The 21,181-nt window shown below is 37.3% G+C and overlaps 2 protein-coding genes across 36 annotated transcripts in view, besides 1 other annotated feature; one reads left to right on the top strand and one right to left on the bottom strand.

Annotated features, from left to right (window-relative positions):
• Window positions 6,016-20,770, bottom strand: LACC1 (laccase domain containing 1). 26 transcript variants are annotated; one of them, NM_001350641.2, is made up of 8 exons: window positions 20,205-20,375; window positions 19,829-20,032; window positions 18,401-18,996; window positions 17,585-17,763; window positions 16,012-16,177; window positions 10,966-11,191; window positions 9,674-9,834; window positions 6,016-8,499 (listed from the first exon to the last, which is right to left on the bottom strand). In NM_001350641.2, the coding sequence occupies exons 3-7, from the start codon at window positions 18,960-18,962 to the stop codon at window positions 9,675-9,677; spliced, it is 1,293 nt and encodes a 430-aa protein (NP_001337570.1). In that variant the 5' UTR covers window positions 18,963-18,996; window positions 19,829-20,032; window positions 20,205-20,375; the 3' UTR covers window positions 6,016-8,499; window position 9,674. The 26 variants fall into 26 exon arrangements, with proteins under 26 accessions (NP_001337570.1, NP_001337567.1, NP_001337574.1 ...); NM_001350638.2 differs by having other exon boundaries at window positions 20,214-20,375; NM_001350645.2 differs by having other exon boundaries at window positions 18,651-18,996; window positions 20,214-20,375.
• Window positions 20,157-20,306: a silencer, noted in NCBI's record as "silent region_5302". NCBI's record gives its function as "represses an Ori minimal core promoter by ATAC-STARR-seq in GM12878 lymphoblastoid cells {active_cell/tissue: GM12878}" and the evidence as "EXISTENCE:reporter gene assay evidence [ECO:0000049][PMID:35858748]".
• Window positions 20,208-21,181, top strand: part of CCDC122 (coiled-coil domain containing 122) — a 60,723-nt gene continuing 59,749 nt past the window's right edge. For 5 of the 10 annotated variants that reach the window (XM_047430112.1, XM_047430113.1, XM_024449327.2 and 2 more), the window contains exon 1: window positions 20,208-20,317. The gene's annotated coding sequence lies outside the window, so the exon portion shown is untranslated. Of the gene's footprint in view, window positions 20,318-20,424; window positions 20,531-20,586; window positions 20,661-21,181 lie in introns of those variants that run through there. The other 5 variants (NM_001350617.2, XM_017020397.3, XM_017020398.2 and 2 more) reach the window with 2 other exon arrangements.

Raw genomic sequence — 21,181 nt, 5'->3', positions numbered from 1 at the left:
TATCCAACCTCTTATTATCCCTCCAAAACTTCTACCCTTCCCTGCCTTTAGTAACCTCCACTCTACTCTCTACTTCTATGAGATCATTATTTTTTCTTTTTTTTTTAGCTTTCACACGTGAGTGAGAATGTGTAGTATTTATCTTTCTGTGCCTGGCTTATTTTACCTAACATAATGTCCTCTAAGCTCGTCCATGTTGCCATAAATGACAGGATTTCATTCTTTTTTGCAGCTGAGTAGTATTCTATTATGTATATATGCTACATTTTCCTTATCCATTCATCTGTTGATGGACACTTAGGTTGATTCTATATCTTGCCTATTGTGAATAGTGTTGCAAAAAACGTGGGAGTGCCTTTCAACATACTTATTTACTTTCCTTTAAATATATACCCAATAGTAGGATTGCTGGATCATATGGTAGTTCTATTTTAGGTTTTTGAGGAACTTCAATACTGTTTTCCATAATGGCTGTATTAATTTACATTCCCGCCACCAGTGTATAACAGTGCCCCTTTCTCCACATCCTCACCAGCATTTTTTGTCCTAAAGCAGTATTTTAAAGTTTATGTTGCTATACAAGTTGGAAACAGGAAATTCTAATGATGGATAAGGAAATATGGCCAAATGTCTTAAAACAGATTTCTATTATATGCATTCTTTCTTTAGTGATTTTGATATGTCATTATTATTTAAATAAATTCAACTAAACACTGGAAATAGAAATGAACCTTGTGAAAATCAATAAAACACAAACACTCCAAAATATGATTTATTTATCCTTCCAGACCTTGTATTAGATTATTTAAGGATTCTTTCCCCTCTGATATGGTTTGGCTGTGTCCCCACCCAAATCCCATATTGAATCGTAATCCCCACATGTCAGAGAAGGGGCTTGGTGAGAGGTGATTAGATCATGGGAGTGGATTTCCCCCTTGCTGTTCTGGTGATTGAGTTCTCATGATATCTGATGGTTTAAAAGTGTGGGCACTTCCCCCTTCCCATTCTCTCTTTCCTGCTGCCATGTGAAAACAGGTGCTTGCTTCCCCTTCACCTTCCACCATGATTGTAAGTTTCCTGAGACCTCCCAGTCATGCTTCTTGTTAAGCCTATTGAACTGTGAGGCAATTGAACTTCTTTTCTTCATAAATTACCCAGTAGTTCATAAATTGCTCAGGTAGTTCTTTTTTTTTTTTTTTTGAAATGGAGTCTTGCTCTGCTGCCCAGGCTGGAGTGCAGTGGCACCATCTTGGCTCACTGCAACCTCCGCCTCCCGGGTTCAAGGGATTCTCCTGCCTCAGCCTCCCAAGTAGCTGGGACTACACGTGCGCACCACCATGCCCAGCTAATTTTTGTATTTTTAGTAAAGACAGGGTTTCACCATGTTGGCCAGGATGCTCTTGATCTCTTTACCTCATGATCTGCCTGCCTCGGCCTCCCAAAGTGCTGGGATTACAGGTGTGAGCCACCGTGCCCAGCCTCAGGTAGTTCTTTATTGCAGTGTGAGAAAGGAATAATACACTTCCCTCTTTCCCTTTTTTCTCCTATAGATATTAGATTATTATAATGTGATAATATCTTTGCTAGGTACTAAAAATATGAAGATAAGTAAGATATGCTCCTTATTCTGATGGAGCCTATATTTAGTAGTAGACAATTAAACAGACCAACATTTAAAAATAAGTTCACTGAGGACCATAAAAAATGATGCTCAGGATGGTTGCTAATGAGGCAAACAACGAAGAAAATATTCTGGAAGAGAAGACCCCAGATCTGAGTCTTAAAGGATAGTTAAGAGTTATTCAAGAGAGGCGACATTGACAAATGCCGTGTGTATGCAATGTGTACGAAGAGCCAGCAATGTGTACAAAGCCAAGAAGCAAGAGAAAACATAGCTGTGGAAGATGATGGTGATCATGGTGAGAACTGCTGTTGACCCAATAACACAGAAAAAAATATTGTGCACGCTTTTCAATATAGTAAAACTTTCTTTATACAGTAGAAGGTAGACCTTTGAGCATTAGTATGGCCCCTCACACTGCCCATGGAACAAAAGCTACTGAGCTTCCATGTACAATCTGGCATGGTACTCGCTATATATATGTGTGTGTGTGTATATATATATACATATATATATATACACACACACACACATATACACATACATATATATACATATATACACATATATATACATATATATATATACACACACACATATATATATATATGACATTGACAACTGAATTTTGGCCATATCTCCATGAGAAACTAGGGAGACACTAGAGTGTTGTAATTATTTACGTAAATGTTTATATTGTAGATGTCCTTGCTACTTCCTATTTGCTAATTTAGTAGAAAGCCTAAGTGAAGATAATCCTAAACAAAAATCTGAGTTCTAGTCAGTCTTTGAATGCCAACCAACCTATTTGGTCTGGCCTAGCTTAATGGCATACTCTAGGAAATGAAAAAAGTACAGAATGGCTACAGCATGGGGAGTGGTAGAAATTAAAGAAGTATGCAGGGGCAAGAGGATGACAGCACTTATACATTTTAGTGAGTAGGTCTTTACCTTGGAGGCAGTGGGAAAGCCATAAAAATTTTTTGAGAGATGTAATATGACCAGATTTGCATTTTAAAACAATCAATAATGATACTGTAAGAAGGGATTCAATAAGGAAAGACTAGTCAGAAGGCTGCTCTAATGATACAGGTGAGAGATGATGACCTGAATGTCTGTGAAAGTTGAGAGACATGGGAACACATGGTAGACATACAGTCAGTAGTGTGGGAAGGGAAGGGGAGACGGAAAGGGAGGCATTCAGAAACACTCCAGGGTTTCTGGCTGGGCAACTGCATGAATAATGATTTCATTCTCTGAGACAGAAGACAGGATGGGAGCAGGTTTTGGAGAGAAGATGATGAGTTAAGTTTGGAGGATATATTTGAGGGGACACAGGATATGTCAAACAGATAACTCTATTAGCCAAATCTGGATATGTATTGAAAAGTAGAAAACCAAAGGAATGAAGGTACCTTGTAAATATGAAATATCAAGTATGAAAACGAGGCTGATGGGAGGGATAAGAAAATACAATCTTGGCCGGGAGCGGTGGCTCACGCCTGTAATCCCAGCACTTTGGGAGGCCGAGGGGGGTGTATCATGAGGTCAGGAGATCGAGACCATCCTGGCTTACAAGTGAAACCCCGTCTCTACTAAAAATACAAAAAATTAGCTGGGCGTGGTAGCGGGCGCCTGTAGTCCCAGCTACTGGCGAGGCTGAGGCAGGAGAATGGCGTGAACCCCGGGAGGCGGAGCTTGCAGTGAGCCGAGAGCCCGCGCCACTGCACTCCAGCCTGGACAACAGAGCGAGACTCCGTCTCAAAAACAAAACAAAACAAAACAAAACAACAACAAAAGAAAGAAAATACAACCTTAAAACATGAGCTTTAAAAACGTAAGGAACAGGAAAGCATGGTGAGATGTAAACTGAAGCAGCGTGTGATGCAGAATTCTGAAAATGAAGGGTATTAAAAACCCAATTGTTACCATGAACAAATCTCTTTTCTACAAATGTTTCTCATGAAATGAGAGTACTCCCTTTACTCCCCTTTTTTGTCTTTTGTTTTGTTTTTGGTTAGAAAGGAATGTGGTATTTTGAGCTATAGTGTCTGCTGGAAATTTTGTTTAACAAAATGTAGTAACTGGACACCTCAACCTTCTGAGAATTAAATAAAACAAAAAGTCTGCTCCAAATACAGCAGAGACATAGCTCACCTCAGGCGCTTGGCAAAAGGACATGGGGAATGTGATGTAAGCATTTCTTTCTCTACAAAAATGCATCTAAGGAGAGTATGAAAAGTTTGTCTCAACACAGTTGACATGTAATCACTGTGACTTCAAACCAAACGTGTTAATCTGGAAAAAGCAGTACTGGCAGATTTCTTTTTTCTTCATTAAGCAATGACCTAGCACAGAACAATGCATTGCTTATGGCAATCTTTGAAATCACAAGTAAACTTTAAAAACACTGCCTACAATGGAAATGCACGTGCCCTAGATCAGGGTTCACACAAACACATCCAGTAAGCATATGGACCATGCTTTCCATTCTTTACTGCATAATTTATTAAAAAATCTATAGAGAGAAATCTATTATTCTACTGCATCCAATGTGTTATGTGTGTGTTAATTTATATTAGCTAGGGCAAAAAGGCTATGTGTCATATTTAACACACATATTTCTTATTTGCCATTTAGCACATACACAAAGACTCATGCATACAAACACGATAACACACAATAACTGAGTAATGCTTTCTTTAAAGTGCTGAACTTTCATAGATTGGTAGCATTCTCTAAGAGTTCACACAAAAAGTAAGATGGATACATTGGAAGTATAACTCTAGGACAATCAAGTAAAAATAAATATCAAATCCCACTTTGAGATATAAAAGCATATAACTCGTATGTCACTGTTATCTTTCCTTCCAGCTGCTGAATATATAGATATTATTTCTGTTTTGTCATGTTACATAGAATAAGCTTCTCTGAGTTTCTCCCAAAAATCTACTTACAGAAAAGCAATTACTAGAGATTCTGTAGGAGTGAGATAGAAGTGGGTGAGGGTTCCTAAATGCTTTTATCTACTTGAACTACCACGTTATACCTAAAGTAAGAGCAATACATTCACTAACTTTAAATGCGTCCTCCCCTCCCTTTTTATTCCACAAGAAAATACAGAGTTTAAGATTAGTTCAACTTCACATGACTGTGATGCACAAATTCTTTAAGTGTAAGGAGTCTATGCATTTTACAGTAACTTATTTTATGATTGGGAGATGAGACAGTTATACATTCAACTGCCATTATTTTTATTAAGTGCTTTCATTTTCTTTACAGTTATTACAAAATTGTATTTATTTTATACAGATGGGTTTTCATTTTCCTGATGCTGTAATGTTTACTTCAGCTTGTTGACCTTTCTTTGTGTTATCTGCATGTTGTAACGTGTGATAAGAATGAATGTAAAGGCTGTGGCAACTGTAATTAATTTTTGTAAAGGGCTGGTCACACGTGGATCTGGTTTATGAATGTATTTGGGATGATTTTAGTAACCAGATCACCTTTTCAGAAATTTAGATGTGAACACCAAAAGATGCATTTTCTCAACAAAAATTAATAGCTGGTTCTATTTTTTTAAACCTAGAAAAAATAAAGTTGATTTTTTTCAAAAAAAAAAAAGATTAGTTCAACTTTATACCAAGAAATAATAGTAGAGCTACTTGTTGAAATACCACCTCCTAGTGGTAAGGTCATCTTATTTGTTTTATAAAGCACTGGGGTATAGCATATTTGGCCACTGTGCTATTTTTCACAATTTAAAATTACAGTTGGATAAATGGCCCAGTAAGTTTTAGTTTGATAGTATTTTCAAAAAGGTATTTCATTAATGTTTATTTGACTTACAAACTTAATTCCCCTTATTAATAAAATAGCAATCAATATTTCCTATGTGCAGTTAGTAGCAGTGCTTAGATTAAAAACAAAACTTTAAGAGGAATAAGTTCTAGTGTTCTATACCACTGTAGGATAACTATAGTTAACAATAGTATATTATATAGTTTGAAATAGCTGGAAGGAACATATTAAATGTTCGTAACACAAAGAAAAATGTTCGAAATGATAGATATGCTAATTACCTTGGTCAGATCACTGTACATTATATGAATGGAAACATTATTATGTATCTCATGAATAGGTACCATTGTTATTTATAAATTTAAAATAAAATTAAAAACAAAAACAAAACTTACTAGAAATCTTTGTTGTTGTACCCCAAAAGTCCTAGAAACCTACATACAAATATGTGAGAGTGACAGCTATCTTGTAGACACAATAAGATGATTATTTAATAACCTGATAGTTTGGAGTTACTAAATCAACACTTTTCATTCAGTAAAGCAGCAAGGAGACAACCTTTCATTATATACTTTGGCAGAGATAATCCAAAATCAGATAATCAAAATAATTTTTATTTGGTTGTAGAATGTTGTAGTACATAAAGCAAAATGTGTCTGCAGGATACTCCAAATTTACCAACTTCAAACAAAATAATGCACAGTGAAGAATTAGAAAATTATCAACCTTACTCAATACATGGAAGTATTCCTTAATCTTCATCATTTTCATTAAACAAAATAATATTTTGGATGAGTTCAACATTTCTATCCTATGCTTTATGTTTAGTGCCTTCCCTGAATTGGAAAAAATGAGGTGTTTTATTTAAATTTAACACTGGTCTAAGGGAGATATAGAATTAAACTAAACAAGAATCGGTTATCACAACCTCACAACATATATCAAAGTATTGAGATTGTTGGTTTACTGACTGTCACTTTTCACTGGATATTAAATATCCTGAGGGCTACAACTGTATTTTTTAACCTGTCCCAGTACCTCAACAAAATTTTCACTGAATGTATGAATAAATTATGTTAACAAAAAGTTAACAATAAAAGTATAATGAAGATCCCTTTAATTAATTTTAAAATCTGAAAGGAAAACTGGAGTCACAAAACATATGTTCAAATCTTAATTCATCACAAATTTTGTGATTTTTGACCTCCACCTCAATGAAGCTCAGTTTTCTCAGCTGAATAAAAGGGATAATGCCTGTGTATTTCAGAGTAGCTGTAAAGGTAAAATGAGGCAATGTACATGAAAGTCCTTTGGAAATACCAAACAAATGTTATTTGCTATCATGCTACCACATATACATGTAGGAAATATATGTATTAAATAAGAATATTTTTAAGATGCAATGTGATAACTTACATTAAATATATATACAATTTTTCCCAAATGAAAACTAACCTAATTCCTCTCTTTAACTGACAAACACACTCAAAACTGCTCATCCAAAAAAAGTCCCTTCCTTGAAGATGTAGTCCCCAGCTTTTTCTCTTCTCTAGTAAATGCTGTCAGAAAAGAGTTGACACCTATGCATCTTCTTCCTAATGCACTGAAAGCTGACTCAATGACCACTGCCTATAGAACAGTTTCAATATGTTTAATCCATTGATTTCTTTTAAATTATCACTTTATTTTATCCCTGAAGATTTCTTTTTGAGTACTTTCCACACCTATCCTGGCTTCTTCAAAACAACTACCCTTTTTTTCTTACTTCTGTGACTATAAGGTTGTATTATTGGATCTCCTTTTTTCTCATCCTAATTTCTGCCTAGATGATCAAACCTGCTCCAATAGAATCAGGTATCATCTCTGTATTGTAAGCTTTGAAATATTTGTCTCTGTCTCAGGTTTCCTCCTAATTTCTAGGTCTATATTTCTAATTATTAACCAAAGATTTCTATCTGGATGCCCTTCATTCTATGTAAAGTCAAACTCATTATCCTTCTCTCTTTTTCCAAACCTTCTCCCTCCCTTTGTTGCCAATCTTGGTAAGCAGCCAAGCAGAAATCTTAGAGTCATTAATGACTTTTCCACTCTTCCTCACCTCTTACTTCCATTATCTAGTAACAGGATCTATTGATTCCATCTCTTAAATGTCTCTCTAATCCATCTACTCTCTTCCCTATTTTAATTTCCACTTCCTTCATTGGATCTTCATTATTTCTTTTTGAAATATTTTGATCGCCTCTTATCTAGTCTCTATGCTTTGGTCTCACACAATTTAAATCCATCCTCTTAAATATGATGCCATGGGAAAAAAAAAAAAAACATCCTTACTTTTTTTTTTTTGGCTGCCTACTCATTGCCTGGAAAATAAACTGCAAGCTCTTTGACATTGCATTTGAGACCCTTACTTATCTGTTTCCAACCTGTTTTTCCAGCCCTAACTCATGCCCACACCCTTCTCTCTCTAGAATATGTTATGCACTTTCAGTTTCATGCCCTGGTTCATGGTGTTCCCTCTACCTGTTATGGTTGTTCTTCATTTGTCAAAAACCTCTACATCTTTCGAGCCCATGTGATATGTGATTTTCTCTGTAATATTTTCTCTATCCTGCTTCTGGGTAAAATTAACCTCTATTCCTTATGTTCTCTTCTACTGCTATTAAAATTAAATTTAAGTTGTAGAAGTGTTTATCTCCTTCACTGTATCAGACTCAAAGGAAAAAGTTGTGTTCATTTTGATTCACATATGCTTAACACAATGCCTGACCAATAGAGGGTATCCAATAAATACTGAACTGAACAAATCTATTCCTGATCTGTGTAATAAACAGGGAGAACAAACTTTAAGAATAATTCTCATGCATAAAACATATTAGCTACAACATACTGATTTTTGTCAGTTATTATTACAATTAAATGAAAATCATTTGGCTTTGAATAATAGTAAAAATATACCCAAAAGATGAATTATCCATTGTAATCCATTTGGTTTTAAGTAAATCAAACAGCTAAATTTCTCTCTTGCAGTCAGTTTGGAAGGAGGCAGGAAGCAGTTATACAAAAATCCAGTCAAGTATCTGTAAAATACATAGAAATCAAATATGAGACGCTTACTGGTGTTATTAGAATATCAAGGTAAGAGTCATGAAGTCTATTAAAGTTTTTCTGTAAGTTAAAGAGCTAAAAACATTGTAAAGAGTAAAAAATAATATTAATTCAGCTAGAAGTAACCTTAGGGAAAATTACACATATCTTATAGGGGCAGTGCTAAATCAGTGCCATGAAATATTTTTGTATAATTCCAACAAAACCATCTCTAATAAATACTATTTTAAGAAAATTACACTCAGTCTTGCTGTATGACTTTAGATCATGTGTCAGTGTACTATAGCCTATAGGCCAAATCTGGCCCCTTACCTGTTTATTTTACTGTTTACAGACAGGGTTTATGTTATCCATGCTGTACTCAAACTCCTGGCCTAAAGCAGTCCTCCCACCTCAGCCTCCCGAGGAGCTGGGACTACAGGAGCAGGGCCACTGTGCCTGGCTCCCTCGCCTGATTTTTGTAAACAAAGTTTTATTGGAACACGGACATATTCATTCATCTCTATGTTGTCAGTATCTCTTGTTGCTCTACCTCTACAATGGCGAAGCTGAGTAGCTGAGATATACTGTATGTCCCACAAAGTCTAAACTACTTACTGTCATTTTAAAATAAAAATTTGGGCAACTCCAACTGCAGATAATCATTTGGAAATCTAGTTGAAAATCAAGCTAGTTTCTTTGTGAGAATTTCTTATGATTCTAGAATTCAGAATGTTTATGCAAAGATTTGTTTTCAAAAATAACATGAAAGTTATAAGGATGTGAGGATAGGGAATGTACAGATATCAAGTACATAGTAGAGAGAAAGGAAATACTTACATACCTTTTTAAAGATTAAATTGTTTTATTTTTATACTTTTAACATAAGCCTGCCTAATTATTCTTCATTAACTAGGAAAAGGAGTGGCTGCTCTTCATAATAGAGTGTTATTGGAAATGAACGTTGCTACCACTATTACATCACTAAAAAAGTAGAAACATCATTCTCCCTGTAGGAATAAAGGAGTAAAGTTTAACATAATTAACTTTTTTTTTTTAAATAAGGGGAGGAATAGGCTAAAAGAGGAAGAAAGAGAAAGGGAGGGAGAAGTGGAGAGAGGGATGAAAGAGAGGAAAAACGGAGAGAGGAGAGAAAACCTACTGTACCTCATTCTTTAATTGATATGAAGCCAATCTGTGTACCAAAATTAAGGCCATCTCGGACATGGGAGAAAAACTTGTCAGGATGGCAAGATGTACAGAGGTTGAGATCTTGGTTCTGGTCCTGAATATTCTGTGGAAGAATTCCTCCCTGTTCTAGAAGAATCCTTAGGAAAAATATTTTTCAAAAGAGAGCAAGAGTTTATTTTCCCAATAGCCAAAGCAATATGAAAAAAAGTATGGATGTTGGCATGAAAAAGTTCCAGGAAAGATGTACCTAGAACAATGTATATTGTTATTCACTTACAGAACATGGACTAGTCAGGGAAAAAAATGCTACACTTTATCAGCATTTATCACCTAAGTTCATATATGCACAGTACAACCTTCCATATTGTCTTATAGACATAATCTAGGTACAGAATTTTATAATCAAAATCAAGTGCTTATTTAAGAAGAAATGTCTACAAAAGTTACCAGGATATCAGGCAAAATTCACCTGGCTCAGCCAGAGTATGCTTTTTAGTCATCTGGCCCTTCATCTCCTTTCCTTCTATTAGCCAGATTTTTCTCAGAAAACTTGCTTCTCCATGAACACTTTATGATATGAAATATGACTACAAGTTAGTGATACTTGATTTTAAAAGTCACATTTAAGAATCAATTTCAAACTTTTCCACATCTGTACTAAATGAGGCAGACTCTGGGTAAAGTTTTGGCGACTGGAATAGAAACATGATTTAAAACATACATTAATTTGCCTTTGTAGTAATGACAAATAATTTTCACCAGTTATTAATAACAAAACCTTGTAAATTAAAAGATGCGAAGAACTGTAAAAAACTTAAAAGTAAAAAACCGTGTATTTATATTATCTAATATTTTTTCTAAAAAACATATTCCTCTAGTTAATTAGATAATAAGAATAATTTTAAAATATCAGCTTCCTGATAGTTCATTACATTTAGGAGAATTTAGCTGAGGAATGGCTGTGAAGTAAAGTACACGCCAACTTTTCTATATGAAGTTTAAGTAGATCTCTTAAAATTAAATGCCAAATATTTCTTCCTTCACTTTTAAATCAATGAAAGATACCAGACAGGAAAATTTCTGTTATTCAAACTCAAATGAAAACAGATTTCATATTTAAAATGAGTGTTTGTGTACATGTGCATGTCAGCTGCTTAAATAACCACCACCTAAATTCTTCTTAGAGTTATTAATTGTTCTCCAAAATAAATTTCATTTTAGAACAATCAGAAATAATCAAACTTGCAGTTGAATGAAATCAGACATACCTTGTGGCTTTACGGATGTCGATACAGGGATTTGGTGAATCAAATAGTTGTACACATGCAGGATGAAGATTATGAAATGCCTCTGCTGATTCCCTTGGAAGAGTAAAACAGCAAGGTCCTACTGAAGGTCCAAGTACAACAACAATGTCTTCCAAACTGCAGCCATATTCTGCTATCATAGCATTCACTGTAGCCATAGCAACACCCAACAAAGTACCTTTCCAACCTGGTAAATAGGAATAAAAAGAGATAAGAGAAGTCAAAACATAAAAAATTTCACCTGAATTTATGTCTAAGTTAAAAGTGAGCAGATTTAGTTTGTATATTTTTCAAAGTCCAGAAATAATAAATTACATTATCATGTGGTTTTTAAATGAGCCATACTACACAAAGCACCTGACACAGAAGAGACATGTAATGGGAGTTTTCTTCATCTTCCATTTAAAGATGCTCTATACTTTTAGTTTCCACTGAGATCATAGCTTCTTAGTCTTCTATTTTTCACATTTTAAAAGATTGTGGTTAAAAACCCACAAAATTTACTATTATAACCACAAAAAAATACTATTCTAAGTATACAGTTCAGTAGTGTTGAACTCACATTGTTGTATAACCAATCTCCAGAATTTTTTCATTTGATAAAATGGAAACTCTACAACTATTAACAATAACTCCTTGTTTCTTCCTTTTACCAGCCCCTGGCAATCACCATTCTTCTTCCAGTTCCTGTACATTTGATTACTGTAGGTATATCATATAAGTGAAATCAATACAGTATTTATCTTTTTGTGACTGACTGATTTCACTTAGCATAATGTCCTTAAGGTTCATCTATATTGTAGTATGTGTCAGAATATCCTGCCTTTTTAAAGCTAAATAATATTCCATTGTATGCACACACATTTTGCTTATCCATTCATCTACCAATGTACCTTAGATTGCTTTCACCTTTTGGCTATTGCGAATAATCGTGTTATCAACATTGGTGTGCAAATATCTCTTTGAGTTCCTGATTTCAGTTATTTTGGATATACTTCCAGAAGAGGAATTTCTGGATTATATGGTAATCTATTTATAATTTTTTGAGAAATTGCCATACTGTTTTCTATAGTGGCTACACAATTTCACATTCCCACCACCAGTGCACCAGGATTTCAACTTCTCCATATCCTCAACAACACTTATTTTCTGAGGTTTTAAAATATTAGCCATCCTAATGGATGTGGGGTGATATTTCACTGTGGTTTTGATTTGCGTTTCTCTAACTTCTAATCCATGAACACAGAATTTCTCTGCATTTATTTGTGTCTTCTTTAATGTCCTTCAGCAATGTTTTGCAGTTTTCATCTCTCCCTTTTTACAAAAATATATCTATTATATTTCAATTAACAGCCTCTTTTTACTCCCTTCCCACTTGCCCAGACTATCGTTCCCTTGCCATCTTTGTCTTATCTGCCTTGCATCTTACAGTGTTCTAAGATAAAACCATCTTCTTTACTTATGCTACCTTCTTGTTGCCAAAGACAGAAAGCTAAGAATATTGCATTTTTCCTTTATTCCCTATATCTGGGTTTGATTCAGCTGATATGGTTGGCCAATAATGAGTACCCTTACACCTTCCTTAAGCACTCCATACTCATACCCTTCAAAAGGTAGGCACTCAGGTGAAGGGATCAATTTTTACAGATAAAAGGAGATGATGAAAGCAAGAAGGACTTAGGTGACAGGTTCAGCCTCTACAGGTAACCCACTGAATATGTGGTTATGGGAAGTACAGAATGAAGACATCAAGTTTCTATCTGTAAGTGGGTAGGATATCAATAATTAAAACAGGAAACCTAACTGGCAGAGAAGACTTTAGGAAAAAAATGTTGAGTTTTTGACATAATGATTTTCAGGCACCTAGGAAGATGCAGACAGTGATGTTCAAAGGGAAGCAACTAGATATAGGCATTTTGAGTTAAAGAGAGAAACTGTCAGGGCTTTTCTACAGATGAGAGTAGCTCTCTTCCTCAGTGAGCCTCCTTAGTTATCCTCTCACTTGTAGTTCATCCACCTCCTTTCTATTTGATTTTTCTATGCCTATCTATATATACATATCTAGTTAAAAGATCTTTATTAAATTAGTCCCATAGAAGAATTTTATTCTTTTTGATATCTGATAAAAGTAGTATACAATGTAGCTAATTATATTATATTTTAAAGTTAATTTATTTTTATTCTTCCAACTTTTTAGGTTCGGGGTACATATATGCAGGTTTGTTACATGGGTAAATTGCATGTCACTGGGGTTTCGTGTACAAACGATTTCATCACCCAAGTAGTGGACATAGTACCGAACAGACAGTTCTTCAGTCGTCACCCTCCTCCCACCCACCACCCTTAAGTAAGCCCCCATGTCCATTGTCCCTTTTTTTGTGTCCATGTGTACTCAATGTGTAGCTCCCACTTAAAGGATACATATGGTATCTGATTTTCTGTTCCTGCATTAATTCATTTAGGATGGCTTCCAGCTGCATCTATGTTGCTGTAAGGATATGATTTCATTCTTTTTTATGGCTTTATAGTATTCCATTATGTATATGTACCATATTTTCTTTATCCAGTCCACCACTGATGGGCATCTAAGTTGATTCCATGTCTTCATTATTGTGAAAAGTGCTGTGATGAACATACGTGTGCATGTGTCTTTATGGCAGAATAATTTATATTCCTTTGGGTATATACCCAGTAATGGGATTGCTGGGTTGAATGGTAGTTCTAATTTTAAGTTCTTTGAGAAATATACAAACTGCTTTCCACAGTGGCTGAACTAATTTACATTCCCACTAGCAGTGTGTAAGCATTTCCTTTTCTCCACAATCTCACCAACATCTGTTGTTTTTTGACTTTTTTTATAACAGCCATTCTGACTGGTATGAAATGGTATCTCATTGTAGTTGTGATTTGCATTTCTCTAATGATTAGTAATATCAAGCGTTTTTTCATATGCTTGTTGACCACGTGTAAGTCTTCTTTTGAGAAGCGTTTGTTCATGTCCTTTGCCCATTTTTTAATGGGATTGATTGTTATTTGTTTGTTGATTTAAGTTCCTTATAGAGTCTCGGTGTTAGACCTTTTCAGCTGCATAGTTTGCAAATATTTTCTCCAATTCTGTAGGTTTTCTGTTTACTCTGTTGATAGTTTCTTTTGCTGTGCAGAAGCTCCTTAGTTTAATTGGGTCCCACTTGACTATTTTTGTTTTTGTTTGCTCTTGAAGTCTTCACCATGAAATCTTTGCCAAGGCCTATGCCTATGTCCAGAATGGCATTTCCTAGGTTTCCTCCTAGGGTTTTAATAGTTTTAGGCTATATGTTTAAGTCTTTAACCCATGTTGAGTTAGTTTTTGTATATGGTGAAAGGAAGGGATCTAGTATCAATTTCCTACATATGGCTAGCCAGTTATGCCAGCACCATTTATGGAACAGGGATTCCTTTCCTCATTGCTTGTTATTGTCGACTTTGTCAAAGATCAGATGGTTGTAGGTGTGTGGCTTTATTTCTAGGTTCTCTATCCTGTTCTATTGGCCTATGTGTCAGTTTTGGTACCAGTACCATGCTGTTTTGGTAACTGTAACTTTGGAGTACAGCTTGAAGGGAGGCAATATGACTCCTCCAGCTTTATTCTTTTTGCTTAGGATAGCTTTGGCTATTTGGGCTCTTTTTTGGTTCCATGTGAATTTTAAAATAGTTTTTTCTAAATCTGTGAAAAATGACATTGGTAGTTTGATAGGAGTAGCATTGAATCTATAAATTGCTTTGGGCAGTGTGGCCATTTTAACAATATTGATTCTTCCTATCCATGAGCATGGAATGTTTTTCCATTTGTTTATATTATCTCTGCTTTCTTTCAGCAGTGTTTTGTACTTCTCATTGTAGAGACCTTTAATCTCCTTGGTTAAGGTAACTGTATTCCTAGGTATTTTATTCTTTCAAAATTAACTTATTAATGACTTGAAATTCACATTTATAACTTCATTTTGACTGCTTGATCTTGGATATGTTTAAACTAAATGTTTTCGAACCTAAGAAGTAAAAAAATAATATCCTCTTTTTATATCCAGGAGCCAAGACTCAAATTTTAAATAACTTTTTGACAATGTCATGTAGTAAACCTGACTTCTACTCATTCAATCCCATTATTTCAGCTAGGTCAAAATAAAAATATGCTACTTTCTTTTTTACCTATGAGCTAAAAAGCAAAGTAGCCATAGATTTACAAGTAGAAGGAAATTTTAAAGATCATCCCTCATTTCACACAAAATCACAGCTATGGGGTAATCTAAAATACTATTTTAAAATACCTTCAGAAAACAAAATTCCATATCCTTAACACAATATACCTTCTAAAAATACTTCTTTGCTCTCAGAGAATAGTTACAGTTAAATACATTAAGTGATGTAAACTAAAAACAGTTTTCAAAACATCTTGCTTTTTCCTACCTCCCTAGCTTTACACATGCAGCTCCATCTGGGTGAACACTTCTCTGCAACATGCCTAACATTCCTATTTCCTATGGCCTGGATTTCAAGGATTCTCAACCAGAGGCAGTACCACTCCCCTAGGGAGTGTTTTGAAAAGCTTGGAGGGTTTCGTTGTTGTTTGATTGGTTGGTTGGTTGGTCTTGGTTATTACAGTAACTAGAGGTGCTACTGTCATTAAGGATTTCAGGGGCTAAAGACACTTAATCTGCAATGTGGGATTATCCTGCCCAAAATGTTAATAGCACCCTTGCTAAGGAACACTGTTACCCAGCCAAAACCAACAAATTCCTCAGGAATCAACCTAGGTGCCACCTCCTTTGGGAATTCTACTATAATTCATATAATTTGATGCAGATACTCCTCTTAGCTGTCCCTATAATAAAACTATGCCGCCTCTCCCATCATTACACTTACCACAGTGTAATGTAATTAACTGTTTGCCATGTCCATCAGAAAGAAATTACAATTTTTCCTGCACAACAAAATGAGTAAAATTCTAAATGTTTAATTAAGTATACTTACCAGCGTGAGCAACCCCACATGCTTTTTTGACTGGATCTGCAAAAACTATCGGTATACAGTCTGCACCAAGAGCTGCTATTGTGACTCCTCTCTGATTTGTGGTTATTCCATCATAAGAGTCAGGCTCCTTTCTTCCCATAATCCAGATGTCATTGGAATGATGAGTCTAATACCAAAAATGTGCAACAAAAATGTTTTGGAAATAGTATTTCTTATACCATAAGCTTTCTCGAAGGTACTCATTGTAGTATAAAATTATATAACCAGTTTAAGATTACTAGCATTCATTAAATATATCACTTTTATATATGGGAAAACACAAAATTTACTTATAATTTAACTATTTAAGATTTTAGATTATAATCTCTGATAGTTTATGCAAAGAAAAGCAGAGTTTAACATTATAAAATTCAATATAGTGAATAATGAACATCTTTCCATAAAGATAGGTATATCATTTCTTATAGCACTTTCTACAAAATGAAAATTTTTCTTGTAAAGGAAAGTTAATTAACAAATCAATGATACTTTTACTTTTCCAAGACTCAAGTAAAGCTAGAATTCTGTAAGGAACAAGACATTATCTCATCAACTATGACCCTAGTTCCTCCTGGAGTAGATTTATAAAATAATGGCCTTTCTCTACCACCATTCAGTTCCCTTTCTTCTAAATCAAAAAGAGCAGTGGTAGTATACTCTCTGAGAATTAACTGTACTTTTAGAATTGAGGACTCCAGATGAAATATACAGTAGGCTCTTGAATAATGTCATTTTATTCCACATCATTTCATTATAATGTTAATGAAAAAAATTGATTACCCACCCGGTCACTGACTGTGTGAGGTTTGCACCTTCTCCTCACGTCCACATGGGTTTTCTCTGGGTACTCCAGCTTCCTCCCACATCCCAAAGAAGTGCATGTTAGATGAATTGGGGTGTCTACATGGTCCCAGCATGAGTACGTGTGTGTGTGTGTAAGGGCACCCTGCAATGGAATGGTGTCCTGTCGAGGGTGGGTTGTGGCCTTGCATCCTGATCTGCCAGAATAGACTCCAGCTACCTAAAGCCCTGAACCGAAATAATTTGGTAGTTATCTTATTTGTCTTTCTTACTGTTTTGTAAATATATGTCTAGCTCACATTTATTTCAATGTTTAATACTAGGAATGTGTTGGTCTTTATTTAGAAGTTTGGTGATGTTTTTGTGACAAGAAATATGCCTTAGAAACTTTATTCTTATTTATATCAATTAGCCTATGGTAAAATTGGTTTTATTATGTCGTTTCACTTAAAGTCACAATTTCTAAGAACCTATCAACATTAAAGGATGACTTACTATATGTGTGTGTGCATATATATATATATATATATATCTGCACGTGTGTGTGTGTGTGTATAAAATAGAACTTATCTTTAGGCTATGGTGTATAAATCTAAGAAAGACAACCACAGCATTATTCTAAAACTTTAGATAAAAAAGCAGATACAAAAGTTAAATAGCTTAAAGTCCATGTAGTTACTAGCAAAGTAAAAAATATACTTTAGATCTTTCAAAATATAAAGCAAAATTTTACCTTTATTCGGTAAAATTTCTCCACATTAAATCCTGCAGCATTCGCCAACCTACGCAGATTTTCTTGAACCACTACCTTGGGATCTCTCCGTTTGGAACTACTGAAGAGATTGAATGAGCTAAGAGTTGGTATATAAGATATCCCACCTGTTCTTGTAGTAAATCCATGTATGAAAATATCTGTTGAAGATAAGCAGTGAAGATTTAAAAGATGCTATTCAAAATACCAGTCTCTCAATTAGACCTTCCCTGATCACTGCTACCTGCCCTTGTTATTTGGCTTCTAATTTCTATGGCATTTTGTACCTCCATATGTTCTTATGGCATTCTGCTTTGTGTTTGTTTTACACTCCCTATGAGATTGTTGCTCTTCAAAAGGTATATTGTGTCTCATCTGGCTTTGTTATATCTAATAGCATATAGCTCACAGAAAATACTGTTTAACCAAGAAGTAAGATTGATTGTTTTAAATTTTACTCTTCTATGAAGGTGCCAATGATTTGAAATTTCAGAATTTCTAAATAGAAGATTTTCAGTGTCATAAATCTCATTGCAAAGGAGGGCTAGATTATTTGTCTCATCATCAAATTTTTGTAAAGCAAATTTATTTATTTGGGGTGGCTTTGAAGGCTTTATCCCTTGACACCCCTGATACTACAGGGCCAAACATGACACCTCTGTGTTGCCACTGATGCTAATGAGTAATCAGCCCACAACAGTCAACAAAAGAAAGGAGGAAAAAAAGAGGTGAACTACCTCTGAAGAAAGACTAGTTTTCCATGTACAAAGTAAAAACAACAGTTAGTGGTTAATATACCTGGGATCAAAGAAGAAGTGATAATAGTTAATTTTCCTCTCAGTGCTGGCAGACTTCTCAAAAATGTTTCTATTTCATTCTGAATTCCTCTTAGTTCTTGAGCTGTGATTACGTTTATTTCAATGGACTGTTTAAAAAGCCCTCCCCTAAAAGTCACTTGCAAATCTTCAAATTCAAAATTGTAAACATCAGTGAAGAGTTGATCAATAAAAGCTTTCATTAATGTCTTCCTGTGCCTGGGTACAATTACCTTAATGCTGCTCAGATTTTTTTCATCAATTTTCTGTTTAATGGTATACAAAGTGGCAGCCATGCTGGGACAGCTAACAATCTCAAATTCTTCCAAGAGAGCTGATAATCCATTGCTTGTTTCTATTTCACAATTATCTTGTTCTCCATCCCTTTCATAGCTGATGTTACTGCAACACATTATACAGAGAAACTTGGCCTTGGCAGCATGGTGGTATTGGACAGCATTCAAAGTCTTCAGTAATGTCTGATGGCAGTTTTTTTGAGAGTTCAATTTCAAACCAAAAAGATCAATCAAAACAGCTTCTGCCATCCTTGAAAGAATACTTTTATGCCAAATAAATCACCTGCAAATAAAAATTAGTGTAAGAATATAAGATTATATAAATCTTATAGTTACAACAGAAATTTGTGGTAGATTAAAAACGAAGTAATTACACTGATTTTAAAATGTAACTAAAATAGTAAATCTAGGCCCCTCCCAGAAAAGCCAGTCTACTCTGTCACAACAGAACCATGACAGTGAAAGCAAAGCCATCTTTTAATTCGTTTTGTGAAAATGCTGGTACATCTTTCCAGCAGCACGACAGTTCCTCTGTTTTGTTTACACAGAACTTTTGAGTAAGGAATTACTTGTGGAGTTTAGACAAAGTCCTGTTTTTAAATTGCAGAGTGTCAACCTGTGTGATATATCATTAGTCCTGACATGATTGTCATATTAGGTCTCATCCTTTCATATGCGGGGGCTTAAGTTTACGAAGCTAAATGGAGCTGCACGCGAAATTCGCGTTTTAAGATGATAAAAGCTGAGATGGCTAATAGAGTTCCCTTCAGGATTTGCGCAGTACTCCACACTTAGCAATGACCACAAAAGCTATAGTGATTTGGATGAGACAGGCTTCCTCTCAACTTTCTTAATTCATTCTCCCCGTGCAGCTTTGCTCACCTCCAGCCCAGCCCTCCCACCCCAACCTGCGGGGCTCCGGTGACCCCCTTTGGTGACGCCCTTTGCCCCAAGAAGGTTTTCTCCTGCCGCTTCCCCTAACCTTTGCTCCCCATCTCTCGGGGCTCCCTCTGAGGTTCATTTAGCCAGTTTTGAGTGGGTGACCGTCCCCCCTTCCCTGTTCATTGTGAATTTCCGCCCAACGTGTGTCGCCGCCAGGTCCCTGTTCCTCCTACCCGCCTCGGCTCACGGGGCGCAGGCTGTGGCTCTGCACCTGCCCGGGCACCTCCACCGGCGGCTCACAGCCCATTCGGGACTTCCTGTCGGACAACGCACACCAGAGGCGATTCGGTCCTCGCCTTCCCGCTCTTCACCTTCGGTTGCACACCGGTCTACGGCGACCTCTGTGACAATTTGCCGCCCCGTCCCTCGTCCTGAGCCTCAACGAAATTGGGCAGCCGCGAGCGGGTCAGCTGGAGTCGTAAGCTCGGCCCAGCGCGACGACACCCGCCCCGCCTCACCTCGCCCACCTCGCCCACCTCGCCCCGCCTCGCCTCGCCCCGCCTCGCCCCGCCTCACCTCGCCCCCCTCGCCCACCTCGCCCCGCCTCACCTCACCTACCTCGCCGCGGCCGCACAGATTCCCCGCCTGATACCGTCCCAGGATCCCAGGGGAAACCTGACGGCCAGGTTCCCTCGTGCCAGCTGCCGGGAGGCGGGAGGGAGGTAGGCCAGGGCCGCCTGGCGTGCTTGGTGCGAACGCGGCGGGCCCAGCGCGAGAGCTGGGGAATCCCGGGATGAGCCAAGCGCCGCGAGCCCGCTGCTGCCTCAGCAGTTCCGGGTCTGGGCGGTCCGCGGAGTCGGCATCCCGCAGCCCCGGCGGCGTTAGAGGAACAGGAACCAGAGCCGCGCGAGGGCTCTCGCCCGGGAGCCAGGCGGGTTAGCGGGCAGGAGTGGGCAGGCCGAGTCCGGAAAGGGTCGCGAGGAGGCAGCTAGGGGCCCCTTGAGGAGGGATAGGGCGGCGGAACGACGGGCCCTGGGAGCGGGCGCAGGGCGGCAGGAGCTGCAGGTCTCCAGAGGGCACGGGGCGGGGAACTAGGGGCCCGGTTAGAAAGCCGGGCGGCGGGAACGGCGGGCACCGTGAGGGGGCGGCGGGAATGGTGGGTCGCGTGAGGCCGGGCTGCTGGAGCGACCTCGGGACTAAACCGCAGTCTCCCTTCTGCTAATGGAAGCCGTTTCCCAAGCGAGCTGAAGTCCGCGTTTCCGGTCTCTGAGGGACGCCTCGCTGACCCAGCAGTGTGGTCAGGACGCTGGGTTTCCTCACCGCAGCCCAGGGCCAGTCCCTTGTCATGCTAGCTCTTGGCAGCTTTTCCCATGCAGGGCTCAAGTCAGGGGCCCCCTCGAGATGTTTTAGTGTTTTTTTGTTGTTCATTTGTTTCCAGAAACAAGCTGTTGTCTCTCCTCCAATGTCTTTGTGCTGATTCTTGCTGACCAACACTCTTCCGAGCGCCTTCACTTGTGTTGACAACACGGATGTCCTCTATGGCCTTTTAAAATATGTGCCACTAGCAGGACTTAAGTAAAAGGCGC

This window comes from Homo sapiens, chromosome 13 (assembly GCF_000001405.40).
Source record: "Homo sapiens chromosome 13, GRCh38.p14 Primary Assembly".
Lineage (NCBI taxonomy): Eukaryota > Metazoa > Chordata > Mammalia > Primates > Hominidae > Homo > Homo sapiens.
This window is presented reverse-complemented; position numbering and strand designations above follow the sequence as displayed.

Bases quoted from the DNA above. Each gene is read 5' to 3' on its own strand.
- LACC1 (NM_001128303.2), bottom strand. From the start codon at position 18,962: ATGGCAGAAGCTGTTTTGATTGATCTTTTTGGTTTGAAATTGAACTCT. The intron at 17,764-18,400 runs GTATATTAACCA...TATCTTCAACAG, and splicing joins CACTTCTTCTTTGATCCCAG to ATATTTTCATACATGGATTT. The intron at 11,192-16,011 runs GTAAGTATACTT...CCTATTTACCAG, and splicing joins ATGTGGGGTTGCTCACGCTG to GTTGGAAAGGTACTTTGTTG.